At 37.8% G+C, this 14,256-nt stretch overlaps 1 protein-coding gene across 9 annotated transcripts in view, besides 2 other annotated features; it reads right to left on the bottom strand.

The window, feature by feature from the left end:
• The window catches only part of CERT1 (ceramide transporter 1), a 143,496-nt gene that overhangs the window by 88,364 nt on the left and 40,876 nt on the right, over positions 1-14,256 (bottom strand). For all 9 annotated transcript variants that reach the window (XR_007058566.1, NM_001379003.1, NM_031361.3 and 6 more), the window contains one exon: positions 2,216-2,332. Coding sequence is in view for 8 of the 9 variants with exons in the window: in NM_001379003.1 (NP_001365932.1) it covers positions 2,216-2,332 (117 nt within the window). In the remaining variant the exon portion in view is untranslated. The remainder of the gene's footprint in view (positions 1-2,215; positions 2,333-14,256) is intronic.
• Positions 8,982-9,182: a silencer, noted in NCBI's record as "peak5293 fragment used in MPRA reporter construct". NCBI's record gives its function as "represses an SCP1 promoter by STARR-seq MPRAs in K562 erythroleukemia cells {active_cell/tissue: K562}" and the evidence as "EXISTENCE:reporter gene assay evidence [ECO:0000049][PMID:32103011]".
• Positions 12,112-12,312: a silencer, noted in NCBI's record as "peak5294 fragment used in MPRA reporter construct". NCBI's record gives its function as "represses an SCP1 promoter by STARR-seq MPRAs in K562 erythroleukemia cells {active_cell/tissue: K562}" and the evidence as "EXISTENCE:reporter gene assay evidence [ECO:0000049][PMID:32103011]".

Here is a 14,256-nt window from a genome sequence, read left to right on the forward strand (position 1 = left end):
TAAAGGAGAAATATATACTTCGTGCATTAATCTTCACTAAAGGAAGAAAACACAAAACGGGAACCTTGCAAAGGAACTGTCATTGGACTTAACAGAGAAAAGTGAGCAAAATAAAATATGTTTAATTAAAACAGAAAAAAACTTGCCCTGTAATAAAAATCAACTGATTAAGCCCTTAAAGGTCATCTCCATTAAAAATATAGAAATTAATTCTACTTAATAACATCTTTAATCACTAGTGAGACGGCTGGCCCTGATTAAATAACATGAAACAGGCTGTTCTCCTTATATGCACATTTAGCTTCTCTCACCTAACGTAAAACTCTTCATCCAGAAACAAGATGGTATAATTTAGTGAATTTAGTTGAGACTCCAAGTCTCTTGCTTTTCCTATATGCCATAAATGGGGAAATACATCAGTCATTCTGGTAAGTAACTTTGCATATTATCTCATTTATGTCTTACTACTACTTTGAGCAGAAGTACCAACATGGCAGCTGAGAATAAACACTAAGAAGAGGTTAATTAACACAGCCAAGCTCACATATGTCATACATGGCAGAGGCTGCATGCATGGCCTGGCTCCAGAGCATTGAGATTTTTTGAATAGTAGCTCATTTCTCTTTTAAATAATAGAAAAACAATAATTTTTTTCCATATTTAGACTTTTCTGAAGTAACATTACCAAGATAACTAAGACTTAGAAAATGTTTTAAAAACTTAACACTAAAGTTTAAATATATAGTCCTAAAGCTAAAACAAAGAAAAAAAAGAAAGGTAACATAGTCAATTTTATTTAGGCTGGGAGAAATCTTAAATCAATAAACCAAGAAAGAAAAGCTAATACGATTGATAAAGAAGTATGCAATTGTGAAATCTCAGGTGAGACTGGTTTTTCTTGGGTGTGTGGGTGTAGGGGTGTGTGTGTGTGTTTTGTGCTTGTTAAAAATACCCAAAACAGTGCCTGAGATTTCACAATCGCATACTTCTTTATCAATCGTGTTAGCTTTTCTTTCTCAAGCCAGACTGGTTTTTCTTGGGTGTATGGGTATAGGCGCGCGTGTGTGTGTGTGTGTGGTGTGTGTGTGTGTGTTTTGTGCCTGTTAAAAATGTGTGTGTGTGTGTGTGTGTGGTATGTGTGTGTGTGTTTTGTGCCTGTTAGAAATAACCAAAACAGGTGTTTCAACTACAACTTTGTGAAACTCAAACGAACAAGTATAGGCAAGTACGTAAACAAGCAAAACTTCTCTTAAGTCATACTCAAGAATGACATGGTGGATTTAGAACGTTCTCTGTTTTATCATGGTATTACTGAATTAGCTAATAATACAGATTTATTAATGTATTTCTTTAGTCTACTTAATATTTATTAACAGAAGTCAAAGACTAGCTTAAATTATATGAATGTACCTTATATATTTATATAAAAAAGACTTTCTATAGGTTTATCATTAGATAGCCTCACATTTACAAAGAATAACTGATTTACAAATGTTCGTACTAAGAATTTACCCAAAAAGTTATAACAAAAATCAACATTGAAACTTTTATAAGTTGGGGTTTTATAATCCAATGTTATTTCAAAAATCCTTTTATTTAGATCATTAAAAAGGTATTTATTATGAAGCAAAACCTAAATAAAAAATCGAAATGTGTTTTATGAAAAAGGGTATATTTTTGATGTAGTTAACAATGAAAAATATTTATCTTTTTTTTTTTTGAGATGGAGTCTTGCTCTGTTGCCCAGGCTGGAGTGCAGTAGCCCAATCTTGGCTTACCGCAACCTCTGCCTCCCGGATTCAAGCGGTTCTACTGCCTCAGCCTCCTGAGTAGGTGGGATTACAGGTGCTCACCACTAAGCACGGCTAATTTTTGTATTTTTAGTAGAAAAGGGATTTCACCATGCTGGCCAGGCTGGTATTGCTCCTGACCTCAGCTGATCCACCTGCCTCGGCCTCCCAAAGTGCTGGGAATACAGGCGTGAGCCACCATGCCCAGCCGAGTAATATTTATCATAGCAAATACCCTTAGTACAACTAAAGTGTTAAAAATAAAAATTATTTCAAAAATTTACATATGAACTGCTTTAATCTTTATCATCCAAATAATGTTCAATGTTTCAGTAACTAATGTCACATGTCAACTTTTTTTTTAAGGTATTGTCAACAATCTCTTACCTAGTCCTCCATGGACAGGTAAACATTAGGGATCTTACCTTGTGCTGTTCAATGGCATCTATCCATTGCTGTCTATGATCTGGATCCTGAGCACGAAGATACCAAACACTATCATTTACACTAATATCAAATCGACATTCATCAAAATCGTGAGGCTGTGGAGAAAAAGTAGAAAATGAAAAGCAAAGCTAATTATATCCTTAGAAGTGTTACACCCCAAAGCCAAAACATGAACATACTCATTCTGTGCTGGTGGGAGACTTGTTACTTTTTATTTTTCTGCTCAAATAACTTGTCTGAAGATAAGAATGTACAAAGGCACAGTTACCAAAAGCCAAATTTCACTCACTACTCTTACAAATGAGTTGTCACATATGCTACAAACATCTATTTCTAAAACAGAGCTGATATTTTTCATCAAATGCTTTGAGTTAACTAGTGAGAACACCACCAAAAGGATAACTTTTATTTTTATTTATTTTTGAGGTGAGGGTCTTGCTCTATTGCCCAGGTTGGAGTGCAATGGCATGAACACAGCCTCACTCCAGCCTTGAACTCCTGGGTTCAGGTGATCCTCATGCCTCCCAACTGGGACTACTGGCACATACCACCATGCCCTGCTAATTTTTAAAATTTTTTAAAAATGTAGGCTTGCTGGCTGGGCACGGTGGCTCATGCATGTAATCCCAGCACTTTGGAAGGCCAAGGCAGGTGGGTCACGAGGTCAGGAGTTCAAGACCAGCCTGGCCAAGATGGTGAAATCCTGTCTCTACTAAAAATACAAAAATCAGCTGGGCGTGGTGGTGGGCACCTGTAATCCCAGCTACTTGGGAGGCTGAGGCAGAGAATTGCTTAAACCCGGGAGGCCGAGGTTTCAGTGAGCCGAGATTGCGCCACTGCTCTCCAGCCTGGGTGACAGAGTGAGTCCTCCGTCTCAAAAAAAAAAAAAAAAAAAAAAAAAAAGATGGAGCCTTGCTATGTTGCCCAGGCTGGTCTCGAACTCCTGGCCTTAAACAATCCTCCCACCTTGGCCTCTCATGTTGCTGGGGTTACAGGCACAAGCTATTGTGCCGAGCTAAAAGCATATATATTTTTTAAGGCCAAAATAAGTTTTAGAGTAGACATTTACTACTTTTTTCTTACTCCATTATTCAAAAGTAAATGCCCATTAATAATTTTATTTCATTAAATATTCTTGATATCTCATTTATCAAATCTTATGAAATTTAACAAAGCAAGATAAAAATGTTAACATTTCCCTTTAAGTATCTAAAATTAACTTCTAGGCTTTTACATGTCTTTGATAGTAACAACCAGGAGCACTTCCAGCTAAAGGAAAAAAATAAAATGAATATTACATAAGATCTACATGAGCTATCTAGAGAAAACTCCGCATTAAGGTGTAAACATTTAGTGAAAATGTCAACTTTTTGATTCAGTGCTCTTGACTCAAGAATATAAAAAATGAATGTTTTACATCCTTGTTTTTAATCTCAATAAATGAATTAAAATATGACAGGAATACATCACATTTACCACCTCTTTTTCCACCAGATACAGTAGAGAGAGTCAATCAATATCCTCTCCTAAAAAGATTCTTAACCTTGGAGGGAAAAGAATCCGCTCTGGGCAACACGACAGTGAACTTATTTGCTTAACACAATTTACATCCTGTACTCCTCCCAGGGTTTATTGTTTATTCTCTCCCTCCCTTAACAACATCCACCTTTTATCTCATCAGTTTATTTAGCAAACACAATATAAACTAACTCTACCATTTTCTTTAGGCTATGAAACAACTTAAGATAAGAAATCATGGTTCTGACTGATTAAAGGATTCAAGTTAAATTTCCTGAATCAGTATGTGCTGGACAATAATAAACCTACAAATGAGAAGTAGAGTGTGCTAGAAAGAAGCAAAAGGGAAAAACAATGCATATCCTGCTTCAGTAATTATAAATACAGAAAGACATAAGCGATAACGTCCAACATTCATAAATAATGATCATAAATTTAACTGAATTATAAATATCCAGGCATGTTAAGAATCAAGTCTAATTACTGAGAATAGCTTCTTGGAGGAAATGAAACATATGCTATGTAAAGCAGGAGTCCCCAGACTCTAGGTCACAAACCCGTGCCAGTCCATGGGCTGTTAGTAACTGGGCCGCACAGCAGGCAGTAAGCAGCAGGCAAGCAAGCATTACCACCTGAGCTCTGCCTCCTGTCAGATCAGCAGCGGCATTAGATCCTCATAGGAGCACAAACCCTACAACGAACTGTGTATACAAAGGATCTAGGTTGTTCGCTCCTTATGAGAATCTAATGGTTGATGATCTGAGGTGGAAGAGTTTCATCCCAAAGCCATCCCCCGTCACCCACTACATGGAAAAATTGTCTTTCATGAAACTGGTCCCTGGTGCCAAAAAGATTGGGAAATGCTAATCTAAAGAACCAAATAAAGTAAAGCAGATGATCAGTCTATTGCTGTAAGTAGCCCAGGAGTTTTAAACTTTTACTCCATGATAATTCCCATTATATTTCCAGCCAGTATTTCTTAAAATGTTTTACATTTTGTAATGTGTTAAATATACTTATTAAAGTTTTAGAAAAATAAAAGAACATATAGCTCATAATTCACCATTTTCTCTGGCAAACACCTTCTTATGCAGACAAGGGAGCCATTTCTACCATCTATGATCTGGAGCATAGGTGGCACAGAAGAGAAAAGCATGAATTGTAAGTGGTATAGAAAGTCTGTGAATAACACAAAAGTTTTACATCTCAACAAAGTGAAAAAAAAAAAAAAAACGAGAGAAGATGAGTCTACAGGGCAAAGGAAATGACAGATTTGGTTAAGAGGATGTATTATGCAATAAAGCTCACATCACTATATTACACACACATATGTGCCCCAAACTTCTAACAGATTGTTTCATTCAGTAACAATCAATCCTGTCTTTATTAAAAATTTTGATATTTTGCTCATTATACAGTAATTTAGTCCTTTTAAAAAATATTGCAATAAAATATTTATCTTGATTATTGAGTTTTTTCTTGCTTCCTTAAATTTTGTGATTGAGGTAAGTTCCTCACTGGTCTCATTTTCCTTGTTTTGGTGCTGAGAAGTAATTATTAGAAAGAAACAAATGTAGGATAGAGGCCAAAATTAGATGGAAAACATTGAGAGGTGATAAATATAAGATATGATCTAAGGCAGCAGTCCACAAACTTTTTGGGACCAGGGATCGGTTTCATGGAAGACAGTTTTTCCAAAGACAGGTTGCGGGGAATGGTTCTGGGATGAAACTGTTCCACCTTGATCATCAGGCATTAGATTCTCATAAGGAGCGTGCAACCTAGATCCCTCGCATAAATAGTTCACGATAGGGTTTGCACTCCTATGAGAATCTAATGCTGCTGCTGATCTGACAGGAGGCAGAGCTCAGGAGGTAATGTCGGCTTGCCTGACACTCACCTCCTGGTGTGCGGCCTGGTTCCTAACAGGCCATGGACTGGTACTGGTCTGTGGCCCAGGGTTTGAGGACCCCCGATCTAAAGGAAAAAAAGACTAAAAAGTTTAAAGAAGAATTAAGGTGACAAGTGATGAAAAGAGGGCTGACAGAGTTAAAAAAACAAAAAACAGAGTTAAAAACGTGGGAAACAACAACAAAAAGCCAGGTTTAAAAAGTCATGGATGGCCCACGCCTGTAATCCCAGCACTTTGGGAGGCGAGGTGGGTGGATCACGGGGTCAGGAGATCGAGACCATCTTGTCCAACATGGTGAAACCCCATCTCTACTAAAAATACAAAAATTAGCTGGGTGTGGTGGCGCGCGCCTGTAGTCCCAGCTACTCAGGAGGCTGAGGCAGGAGAATCACTTGAACCCGGGAGGTAGAAGTTGCAGTGAACCAAGATGGCGCTACTGTACTCCAGCCCGGCGACAGAGCAAGACTCCGTCTCAAAAAAAAAAAAAAAAAAAAAAGTCATGGACATGTTAAACAGATTTGAGAAAAGCACAAAATGAAAGAAATATAATAATGTAGAGTATCAAAGGAGATAAAGCAAATACTTTAGCTGGTGTTTTCAAACATGAAAATATAACATACATAACAGAAAGACACACTATGCCCAGGAAAAACAGACACAGAAAGATTAACACGAATATATATTCTGTAAAGTTAATTAATTTCAAGAATAAAGGAAATGCTATAGGACACTGTTTCTCAAGGTTTTTGCATTACCAAACCCTCTACCCCACAATTAAATACTAAGGATAAGATTTTTGTCCATTAGAATTTTTTGGGGCCATAAACCATTGTTTTATCTATGATTTCAACCCTCCCGAAGAACCAAGTATCACCACCACTAAGAATGCATGCTACAGGAAAAAGACATCTATAAAAAAGTGGGTTCCATATTTTCTCATGTCAACACTCACTGTTAAGGACAAAAAAATTTCAAAAGGTGAATAAATCCATGGCACTTATACCTACTCCCTACCAAAATAACCTTATAGGAACAAAAGAGACATAAATGTCCAAAAGAAAAAGAAAAAACTTATCACCAAAATTCACAGTTGGAATGTGGTAAATGACTTAACAGGTGTTACCAAAACACCAGGGGTTTGGTCTAGGTCCTGCTGCTCACAGCACAGCAAGCCAATCACTGAGACAATGATTATTGCCAGGGAAGAAGGCTTTATAGGGTGCTAAAGTTGAGACGGGAGGTCAGTCTCAAATCTATCTCCCCGATTAACTAAAATCAGGGGTCTATAGAGGAGGGAAGAAATATAACCATGTGTGGAAACATAAGACTTAGGGAGGGGTAAGGAAAAGGAGTTGCTCAACAGGAAGCAGGTGGTTGGTTAGGCACTTATGCCAGGTAAGAGTTCTGGCATCTCATTGTCCAGATGCAGTGATCTGGTAAGTTTTCAGTTCTTTGATACTACCTGGGAGGCCTGATGGTTGGCTTCCTGAGAAAGGAATTCAGATAAGACAAATGTAACTTTCTCAAGTTTCAAGACTGGGAGGGTCAAGTGCTAGGTTTATGCAAAAGAAACCATAAACATCAGTTCTATGGGAAAACTGGACCAGTTTCACAGGCTTGAGAAAACTGAAAATTAAAAATCTACCAGGGAAAAGAAGACAAAAGAATCAAGCCAATTTGCACACAACATTGGAGAAGTAAAGGAACTGGAGGCAGCAGGTAGCACTAGAGGTTAAGGCATGGATGGAGCTGAGACCAGAATTGACTGAGTCATTAAAAGGTGCAACTAGACCCCTGAAACCCCACATGCCCATCCCAAGCATTGGTGACTACTCACCTACCGCATAGTAACATTAGAGGCCCTACTCTCCACCCTCTGGACAGACTAAATCAGACATTCTTACAGAGAATAGGGTACAGGGTGCTATGGGGGATGCGGGTGAAGGCAAGCAGATAAAGAAAAGTCTTCATATTTAAGGCCTCTTTCCCCTTCTTGGCACCCAGAAGGCTAGGGCCCAAACTTGCATTGTTGCCCAGGGTGGTCTGGTAAAGACTTGAGCAGTGTTTTTTGTTTGTTTTTTGGACACAGCGTCTCACTTTGTGACCTAGGCTGGAGTGGTGCAATCTTGGCTCACTGCAACCTCTGCCTCCTGGGCTCACATGATCCTCCCACCTCAGCCTCTGGAGTAGCTGAGACCACAGATGCATGCCACTACACCTGGATAATTTTTGTATTTTTTGTAGAAACAAGGTCTTGCCATGTTGCCCAGGCCCTGGTCTCGAGCTCCTGGACTCACACAACCCATCTGCCTTGATCTCCCAAAGTGCTGGGACTAGAGGCATGAGCCACCGCAAGTGGCCCGGAGTTTTATACTCAGAATTTTAGGTTCTCTTTCTCTGGCGCTGTAATTTAGGATTATCTCCTTACTATCTAGGTTCTTTTGCCTGGTTCCTACAGCTAAAATGATGGCAGGTTTTCTTTAATGGAGTTTTAGCTCTCTCACATCTCTGCCATGACGGACATGGTTCAGACTGCTCTCAGTCAGGTGCACACATGCATGGTTCAGGAGTCAACCAGAGACTTGAAGAGTTTATATATACAATTCTGAGATCCCTTCCTCTAGCTCTCTCCTTTTTCAAGTTTTCAACTTGCTTTCTAATAGCCCTGGTTAAAGCAAGTAACTTTCCCAGGTTCTACCAGTCAGAAAAATGGTTGGCTGATTTTTCTGTTAGAGTTACAGACACTTAGCACCACCATCACAATGGAGATTTGACCCTATTCTACCCTGACAGTAGGATATCTGATAATTTCCAAATATCCTGCCAAACACTTGTGAGGCTGAAGACTTAAAATTGTCTAAGTCTAGCATCTCTTTTCTGTTTTTACAAATAAACACAAAATATTAGAATTTCTTTACTCAACAAGACAGCTAAATGAATCCTATTAGGTACAAACAAGATGAATCAATCAGTGCTCTATATTGTAAGCCACAGAAATTGATTCTTGCTCACTTAAGAAGAAAAGGAATTCATTTAGAAGGTATTAGGCAGTTCATATTGCTAAGAAATACAAAGAACTGAGATCAGAAAATGGAAAGGAGCCAGGGTAGACTAGGCAACAAAAACCCCTGCTGGGATTGCACCACAGGTGCCATTTGTATGGACAGGACTGCTTCCACTTCTGGACCCTGTAAAGCCACTACTGGCACTGCTTCTACTGGAAACTGCATTCTCCTGCTGCCAGCACTATCAGAAGAAAAACTTCCTGTCTCTTGATTCTCTGTATTGGTCCTGTTATAGAATCAAAGTAAGGCTGGAGAGGAAAACAAGGAAAAGGGGGGGTAGAGAAGGACAGCGCAACATTCTGATAGTTTAGGCCTAATTCATATGCCCATATGCTAACTAAGGGGAGTTAACAAGATAGGAGATTGTAGGATAGAGGAAGCAATTAAGTATCTGGTCTTTACAGATCATTTGAAGGAGACCTTCCACTCACATAGTGGGGAATTCCTCAAAAGCAAAAAGGATTTTGATGATAAGAATGCCACTTAACAACCTATTATCTCTCTTAAATCCACCCTTCTATATACTGTTTTGTGCTACTGGAACTGGGATGCTGCAAACTATATTTCTCCTCTGCCAGCCCCCTTTTATTGGGTTCTGTCAATGTGGGACATTAGATAAGGATTAGAAGCCAGGAACAAGATAGAAGGAACTTGCACCTTGCTGTCTGCACACTGTTTCCATCAGCATCTGCCCAGCAAAAGTCCTTAGCCCTGGCAGTGGCAGTCAGTTCCACTCAAAAGGTTCTTTTAAAACTCCCTGGACCAGCTTCATCTAGATACCTCAGAGATGCCAGTACCAGCTACGCATGCGCCACTTCTTAGTTGTATGAGGTGTCGCTCCACAACATTTCCTTTACAGATTAGTGGGATATTCGAGTATAAGATACACGAGCTATAATCCCCCTTCTAGATGTCTGAGACCCAGCTGCACAAAGCACTTCCTTTAAGCTTCTGAGATAACAAGAGCAGATAAAGAGCAACCCTCTCCAGCTGAGCCTCAACTCTTCAGAGATCCTTTCTCTGAGTTCCGGAAGTACTCATTAGCTAGGTGGCCCTTTCAGCTCAGAGGTTTATTAAGCCTCATTCCAGGAGGGTCCTAAGGTAATGGTACAAACACCAGCAGGCAGCAACTTTTCTTCTGAGTCCCACCTCTGCAGGACTATCCCTCCATACTTACAGGTTCTGATAACCCAAACCACTTCTCTTTGTTGCTGTAGTCTAAGAATTAGAAGCTGGTCCTTGCAATTATCACTTCTGTATTACCTCAATGTTTTTCTTTTATTCTTTCACTTCTCCCACAACTGTTTGAACAATTTCCTATATTAAACACTTTCTGCTAAAATATCTAATGTGGTTTCTGGTTCCAGGTGATCCTCTTTATTGAATGCTGAACATAAAATTCAGAAAACTAATGTCCACACAAAAACATACAGAAAAATATTCATAAAAGCTTTATTTGTAACAGCCCCAAACTGGAAATAACCCAAATGTCCTTCAATTGGTGAATGCCTAAACTGTGGTACAGAGATGGAATACTACCCAGCAATAAAAAGGAACCAATTATTGATGCATTCAGCAACTTAGTGGATTCTCAAGGAAATTATGCTGAGTGAAATAAGCCAATCTCAAAAAGCTATATACTGTATGATTCCACTTTTATAAAATCCTCAAGATAATAAAATTATGGGACTGCAGAACAGCTTAGTGGTTTCCAGCGGTTAGGGATTAGAGAGTAGAATGAAGGGAGAAAGTTGTAACTATAAAGAGGTAGCATATGAAGCCGGACGTGGTAGCTCACGCCTGTAATCCTAGCACTTTGGGAGGCTGAGGTGGGCAGATAGCTTGAGCTCAGGGTTCAAGACTAGCCTGGTCAACATGGCGAAACCCCATCTCTACCAAAAATACAAAAATTAGCTGGGCATGGTGGTGCATGCCTGTAGTCCCAGCTACTTGGGAGGCTGAGTCCAGAGGATCGCTTGAACCAGAGAGGCAGAGGCTGCAGTGAGCCAAGATTGTGCCATAGCACTCCAGCCTGGGCAACAGAGTGAGACTCTGTCTCCAAAAAAAAGAAAAAAAAAAAAAAAAAGTAGCATAAGAAATCTATGGGGCAATAAAACAGTTCTGTAATTTGACTGTGATGATTGTTACAAGAATCTAAGTGATAAATTTGCATAGAACTACACAGATGCACAGATGAGTATATGTAAAACTGGTAAAATATAAATTAAGGTGAGTTGTACCAATGTTAATTTCCTGTTTTTGATATTTTACTATAGCTATGTAAAATCAGACCATAGATGGAAACTGGATGAATAAATGGAACCCATTTACTCTATTTTTACAAGATTTTAAGAATGTACAATTACTTCTAAATTTTACAAGTTTTTGTAAGTGAAAAACTTAAACATTCAACAAAATGCAAAAAGTGGTTGGCCCTTAGTGTTAGAATTACAAGTGGTTTTCTTCTTTAGAAATTTTTGTATTTGGTAAGAGTTTGATAATGGATAGACATTACTTTTGTAATGAAACAAATTAATGTTATAAGAAGGCAGAGCCAGATGGAGAAAGAGGACTCTCCAGTGATCATCCCCCTGTGGAAACATCATTTTGAATAACTATCCATGCATTAACACATCTTCAAAAGAGCTGAGAAAACCAAGTGAAAGTTCACAATACCTGTTTATGGCATACTAATAAGAAAATACCCATTGAAGAGGGTAGAAAGGATAATTTTACAGTATCTGTGTCAACCCTCCCACAATCCTACTCAGCAGAATGCAGAGATATCTCCTCTGCTTGAGGAAAAAAAGAGAAGTGTAGGACTTTCCCTTGGTTCCTAATACTGGGCCTGCCACAGTAAAAATCCAGTGCCAGGCAGACCCCTCATGGTAACTGAATCCAGGTTGGTATCTGTGAACTGAATCTCCTCACCTATCCCAGTGACAGGTGGTAAACTATAGCCCTCACAAAATGGACTCAATCTCTGGCTCCCATCACTGCTGGATGATGACAGCAGCCTTAGGTTTCAGTCAAACCTCAGTAACAGGTAGGCCTCATGATTTTCAGATGCACCCCAGAGCTGTGCCAGCCGTGGTAACAACAGATTCTAGTCTATTGTTATACTGACCATGGTAATTCTGGGTACAGAAAGCCTAATGCTGTAACAGTTGCAACAGTCATGGGCTTAGAGATCACACCAGATGACCTGCCCAGGATCTAACAACATGCTTACTGATAAAGAGCCAGATAAAGCCAGACTGCAAACATTCCAATAAGTACCTATTTCTTCAACATGCGGATATAGATGCACAACAGGAAGGATCCAGAACAACCAGGGAAACATGACCTTATCAAACAGACAAAATAAACTTCCAATGACAAACCCAAAAGAGATGGAGATGTCTCAAAAGTCTGACAAAGAATTCAAACAGCTATTTTAAGGAAGCTCAATGAACTTCAAGAAAATACACAGAAACATTGAACAAAATGAGGAAAATAGCAAATGACAAGATGAGAAAATTAATGGATTGAAATAATAATTAAAAGAAAATCAAACAGAAATACTGGAGCTGAAAAATACAATGAATAAAATGAAAAATGCAATAAAGAACATCAATAGCAAAATCAAAGAAGCAAAAGATCTGTGAACTTGAAGGCAGGTTATTTGAAAATATATGGTCAGGAAAAAAAGAAGTAAGATTGAAAAGGAATAAAAGAAAGCTTACGGAATTTATGAGATAGCATTAAAAGCAAATTTTTGAGTCATTAGAGTTCAAGAGGGAGTAGAGAAAGGCAAACAGGTAGAAAGGTTATTCAAAGAATAAGAACAGAAAACTTTGCAAACCTGGATTCAAAATTTGGTAAAGAATATGCAATAATGATGTAAATTGTAACATCAAAAATTCAAAACACTGAGGGACAGTGTAGTAAAAAGAGTTTATTTTTAGGTTGTTATCAGTTTAAAATAACTATTTTTTTTTGTAAACCTTATGGTAATCACAAAGCAAAAAACCTGCAATAAATACAAAAAATAAATATAAAGCAAGGAATCAAATGTACTATTAGAGATAATCACTTAGCCACAATGACAGTAAGAATAGAAAACAATTAGGAAACAAGTGGCAGCAGTTAAGCCCTTATCTATCAATACATAAATGCCTTAAATATAAATGGATTAAATTCTCCAATCAAAAGACACAGAGTGACTGGTTGGATTTTTAAAAAGACCCATCTATATATTGCCTATAAGGGACTCATTTCAACATATACATACTGAAAGTAAAGAGATTTAAAAAGATATTCTATGCAACTAGAAACCAAAAGACAGTAGGAATAGCTATACTTCTATCAGATGAAATAGACTTTAAGTCAAAAACTAAAAAAGAGACAAAGGTTATTATATATTGATAATTCAGCAAGAGGATATCACAATTATAAATATAATATGCATCCAACACTGGAACACCTAAATATATAAAGCATATATTAACAGATCTGGAGAGAAAGACTACACACAATAATAGTAGGGAAATTCAACACCTCACTTTCAGCAATGGACAGATCATCTAGAGAGAAAATTAACAAGAAAACATCAGAATTAAACTATACTCTGGACCAAATGGGCCTAACACATATACACAGAACATTTCAGTTGCAGAATATATTATTCTTCTTAACTACACATGGGACGTTCCTCACAATAGATATGTTAGACCACAAAACAAATCTTAACAAATTTAAGAAAACTGAAATCATATAGAGTATCTTTTCTGACCACAATGGTATAAAACTAGAAGTCAATAAAAGGAGGAGCTTTGGAAAATTCACACATACATGGAAATTAAACATCATGATCAAGTGATGCAATGATCCAACAATGGTTCAACACAAACAAATCAATAAATGTGGTACATCACATTAACAGAATTGATGGACAAAAACCCTATGATCAATAGATGCAGAAAAAGCACTGGACAAAATTCAACATCCTTTCATAAAAACACTCAACAAATTAGTTATAGAAGAAATGTACCTCAACACACTAAAGGCCATATGCAACAACTCACAGCTAATACACTGAACAGGGAAAAGTTGAGCTTTTTCTCCAAGATCCTGAACAAGACAAGAATACCGACTCTTGCAACTTCTATTCAGCATAGTACTAGAAGTCCTAGCCAGAACAATTAGGCAAGACAAAAGAAATAAATTAAATTGTCCCTGTCTGCAGATTACATGACCCTTATATATAGAAAACCCTAAAGACTCCACCAAAATACCGTCAGAACTAATAAATGAATTCAGTAAGCTTGCAGGGAACAAAATCAACATAAAAAAATCACTAGTGTTTTTATACACTAACAATGAACTATCTGGGGAAAAAAAAGAAGAAAATAATCCCATTTAGAATAGCTACAAAAAGAAAATAAAATACTTAGGAATAAATTCAACCAAGGAAGTGAAAGATCTCTACACTGAAAACTATAAAACATTCAAGAAAGAAATAGAAGACAAAAATAAATGGAAT

This window comes from Homo sapiens, chromosome 5 (genome assembly GCF_000001405.40).
Source record: "Homo sapiens chromosome 5, GRCh38.p14 Primary Assembly".
Taxonomy (NCBI): domain Eukaryota; kingdom Metazoa; phylum Chordata; class Mammalia; order Primates; family Hominidae; genus Homo; species Homo sapiens.